This window comes from Homo sapiens, chromosome 13, assembly GCF_000001405.40.
Source record: "Homo sapiens chromosome 13, GRCh38.p14 Primary Assembly".
In the NCBI taxonomy this organism is placed as follows: Eukaryota; Metazoa; Chordata; class Mammalia; order Primates; family Hominidae; genus Homo; species Homo sapiens.
Genome location: NC_000013.11, coordinates 72,415,587 through 72,420,708, shown reverse-complemented (window position 1 = coordinate 72,420,708; position 5,122 = coordinate 72,415,587).

Genomic DNA, 5,122 nt, shown 5'->3' with positions numbered 1-5,122 from the left:
TATCCTTTTCTGAAAAATATATATGCTATTTTCTAATGGTTTATGGAAAAGTATATTTTATACTGTCTTGGAGGGATTTTTGTTTCAGTTAACAACTCTCAGAAAATTATCATAGTTTGTAGAAATTTATACTTTAGTCTTTCCCTCCCTCCCTCCCTCCTTTCCTCTTCTTTTTTTTTTTGCTAATTTTTACTAGAAAGGGAAGTCAGATTTTACTTTTCTTTATAACACTTTAGAAACTTCTTTGAGGTAATACAGCTGTTTGTTTTGGAGATCCAAATGAATAATTCTGTGAAATATAGACTAGAGGACTATATTGGATTTTCAATTTCTCTGTCAGAAACTTTCTAAGATTCTCAGGAAGAAATAGAAGGACAAAGGTGCTATAAAAAGTTAGTCTAGAGTGGTCTGAATGGACCTGGTCCAAATGGGAAAGGCTTAAAGTGGTTCTATTGTGTCAAATAAGCATTTGAGCTTTTTTTTTTTCCAAGGATAAAATGTTAAATTTTTTCCAAGCCTGAAATTAGTTGAAATTCTCCTCTTCTTCCATAATTAAGTAATAATATGTGACAAAGCATGAGTTATTACATAATAATTCATACCTTTTGCTTTGCTAAGAATGAGGCCATAGGATGAGTGCTTGTTTAAATGCACAAGGTATGAGTTATTATATCATAATTCACACCTTGAAATGCCATATTGTGATTATAAAATGGCCCTGTGCAAATATTATTAATTTTTTAAAGTTCAGAAATAAATTATTAAAAATAACACATTATGACTTCAAAAGAATCTCTGTAATGTGAATTCATTAAAAATGGAATAAAAAATTAGTGTACACTGAACTGGAATTATATATAACCTTTCTTGATGAACTATTTTCATTGACATACTGTTGTGAAGCATACATTCTATAATTTGCAGCTGTTGTGTAGATGTTTCCTTCCTTGAACACTCCAACACGTAATGTATTCTGGATTTTTTTTTTTTCTCTCAAGGACACAACTTAACAGCAGCTGTAAGTCAGAGTCTTTGCAGTCAGGTTCAGTACTGTTTGTTTATCAGGGTTGCACATACAAATCATAAAGGGCAATTCTCTTCATTGGACTGCTGGCCACTACTCTTTAAAGCTCGGTCCTTCACTGGGTTCTAGAACAAAGACCTTTGCTGGTCTCTCTCTACTTCCCTTTTTCCCATGTCTTTTACCAGTTTATCTTCATCTTCCTCCCCATTGGCTATGGGTGCTCTCCAAAATTCTTGCCACACTTTTATTTTCTTTTATGTTTGGTCTTACTTCACTAAGACATTATCAATTTCAATGATTCACTCTCTGCAGGTAACCCCATAATACTGCTCTATTTCCAAAATTTCACTCAGACTCCAAATTACTAGTATTTCTTGTTATTATTTTATTTATTTCAGTGAATATTCCAAACCTTAGAATTCTCAGTCTCTCAGGTTAGACGTCCTTCAGTCATGGTTTATTCTTTGTATCTTTTTGATCCAACTATTGCACACCTACTTTGTGCTAGCTACTTAGCGAGGAATAATTCAAGGTGACTGTCAAGAACTTTATTGTCATAAAAGAACCAATTATGCAAATAAGTAAATTTAATATGAGGAAGAATGTGATATGCATAATAGACAAATGAGCACATTTGACTGCCTCCACCTGAAGTTATTATGAAAAGCTTCATGGAGAAGAGATACTTGAGGTGGTTTTGAAGATGAATGAAGTTTCCAAAAGTAGGTGGTTCATTTCAGGGTAATCAAAATCACAAAGACCTGTAGGAAAGGATGCAGAAAGTCTTCACTGTATTAGAATTTTACAAAACTATGTCAGTTCTGTAAAAATGTTTGCATAGTAATAATAATAAATTTGAAATATGAAATCATTGCCCTTTATTCAGTCAGCCAGTCTCATATGTTTATCGCATATTTCATTTATTGCATATGTTTCACACTTTTCTCTTGAATGTTCTATTTATGTGACTTTAACTGTAACTTAGAAACTCACGATTTTATTCTGAATTACTATAGCACACTTTTATCTGGTCTCATCCAAACTATTCTTTTTCTATTCTATTCTGTACTCTGCTACCAGATTAAGCTTCCTAAAATTCAGATTTCCTAAAATTAAGCTTCCTAAAATTCTATTTTTCCTCTGATCATGAGATTTTAGTATCTTCCTATCACCTCCCAGTTCAAAGTTCTGTGCCCAACCAGCATGAGCACAGATGTTCCAGATCTTCCAACATCTATCTTATCTCACCTCTCCACCCGTATTTCCCATGACTTACCAAAATGCTGGCCTCATAGTCTTCTGCACAAATGCCCTCCTGCTTTTATTTACAAATTCTGTTAATTATTCTTCAAGTCATCTCTATACGCCCTCTACTCTTCCTTAAGTTCCAGCTGAATTTGCACCTTCTCTATGAAATGATCTTCAATTCTCACAAACCCCATCTTGTTCTTCCATATGAATTCCCAAATTTCTATCATACCTAATATTAGTATGACTTATTATATCATTCAATGGCAATTAGTTTAAAACAGCTAGTAAATTTAAAACACTGCAGGGGTAAAGGAAAGAAGAAAGGGAGAAGGACAAAAATATTATGCCTTTCTTTTGTATTACATGTGCTTAGCATTTCCAAACACCTAAGTCTTGGTCCTTAAGGAGTTTCAATCTAGACATGAAGAGTCAATGTACAAATCTGTGATGCAAAGGAGATAATGCTAAATGCAGCCTACAGGTCACAGAGTGGTGCTATCATGGAGAAAGGACACCATGATTCTTACTGGTGCAACTAGGAATGGCTTCAGAGAGTAACATGAACTGGGAGGAAGAACAGACCTTGGAATGTGCAGAAAGGGGTATATAATATGATAATATTTTATCATATTACTTATGATATTGCTTATCTAGGCATGGGCAATATAATAAGTAAATATGAAGAGCTAGAAAAATATGGGAGATATTTGGAGAAGAGTGATTAGTCTCATTTGGCTAGATCATTGTTTAATCTATCATTGAGTTCTAATTGCATCATCAGATTGTTCCCTTATAGCTACATTAAAAGCCTCTAGAAACATAAAATGTGACCTCACTTTTAAAAAATGGCCTATTGAATATAGTACAGGCTAAGGCCATAATAGTCACTCAATAAATACATATTTAATTAGTGTAATTTTATTAACCCACAACAATTTTCTAAATAATATTTACATTTATGTATCACTTTTATTCTTCAGATCTTTATGAGGAGTCATCTTCCCATTTGATCTTTCAAAGGGAATCTTTTTAGATTGGGAGTTGGGAATCTTTTTAGATTTACAGAGTGTTTAAATACTGAGTTAGATGGGTAATAATTAGAATTTAATGCTTCAAGTGAAGACAGCTTTTATGTTTCATAATTCTCCAATACTCTGATTTCTTAGACTTCTGATACTTCATGGCTACAGATTATTTTGCATTTATTTTTGTTTAGTTAATAATGACCTAGAGCCTATTTTATGGCAAGTGCTGGAAAGGGGTTGGGAGATCTAGGGGAAACCAAATCCTAGAATGATTAGTGCTGGTGTAAAACCTCAGAAGGAGAAAATGGTTTGTTCACTAGGTGAGAATGTGCATTGGGAATTAGTAAGAACTAAGGAAGCAATACATTACATGAAACAGGCTTCTTAAAGTTTAGTCCAGTCCTATTCAATATATATAATGTTAAAAATCAACTGGGTGCCAGCCACTGTGATACATAAGGCTAACCTAAACAATTCACAGACTGGAAAGGACCTACCAGTAAGACAGCAAGTCTCTCAGTGCAGACTTGGAACTGTGCTTGCCAGGTTTAATCCTACTTCTTGTTGTAAATAAGACCAAAGTTTCCCTAGATATTAAAAAAGGTATATATTAAAGATGATTTTCTAGCTCTATACAAGGACAAAAAAGTAAACCTTTATAACCTATGACATGTTTCAGCTGGGTTTACTGTGCTATTATTGGAATCAGTTGAGATTCATCATTATAATTGGACTCCTGTAACAGTCATCTACAGCTTTCAAAATACATAAAATACACAATTTTGTGTGCATAAATTAACTGCTTCATTATCAAACGTTGGCCAGATAGCAGAAGACAAAGTCAGTCAATGACATGGAAAAAAAAATATCCCTGATTCTTGGAACTACATTTATGGCTTAGTGAAATGTACTAACAACACTTTGTTTATTTCAGCTACTAAAAGTAGGTCCTTGCTGAATTACTTTTCCTGCCTTTAAACTCTTTCTGTAGATAAGATGATGGAGGAAGGGCAAGAGAAAATCAAAAAACAAACTTAATAACACCATACCTTCGAAGCAGCTTGATTTATAATGAGTTTGTGGGAACATTCTGAACCTATTTCATGTTGAATTACAGTCCACCTTTACAAGTGGCTGCTAAAGAAGGAGTTCATGAACATACTCCTCTTACTACTTCAATCGTCTTCCTGCTCAGCCACTAAAATTTTAAATGCGATACAAACAAAATGCATCTATAAATTTGTATAGTAACTACACAAACAAATGCAACCTCATTCTTAGTAACCATAAAATTACCTTCTGTTATCTATCACTTTGTGAATTATAGTTTCATCGCTTGGAACAGCTAACAGCACAGAATTACACTGCTTCTCTTCTTACCCCTGTGTCATTACTGTTCTTCTGGCTAAAGCAGCAATCAATAGTCTCGTGGATAAACAAATGATTAAAGGCCAAGATGAACTACTGCAAATAAGAATCACATTATCTATCTTTGCACTGAATATAATTTAAAAAAACCAGTGTCTTCTTTTGGACACCTGGCTTCAATCATAATCTATTCAAAGTCCTTTTGTTTCTCTGATTCACATTCTTAAAAATCTTTAGAAAGAGCACGTTTGTAAACAGGTACAAAGTAAACAATGAAAGGTAGATTTAGGTGGGTTTCTTATTGTTGAATACACATAACTACATAATGAGGCCTCGAAATTTTAGCTTCAAAGTTATTAGAATTGTAAAGCCTTTTCTTAGTGCTAGTTCAACATCCAAACTGTGTTATTGGTTAGGTAAATATGAGATTTTGCCAAGTTTTATGTTGGGTAAC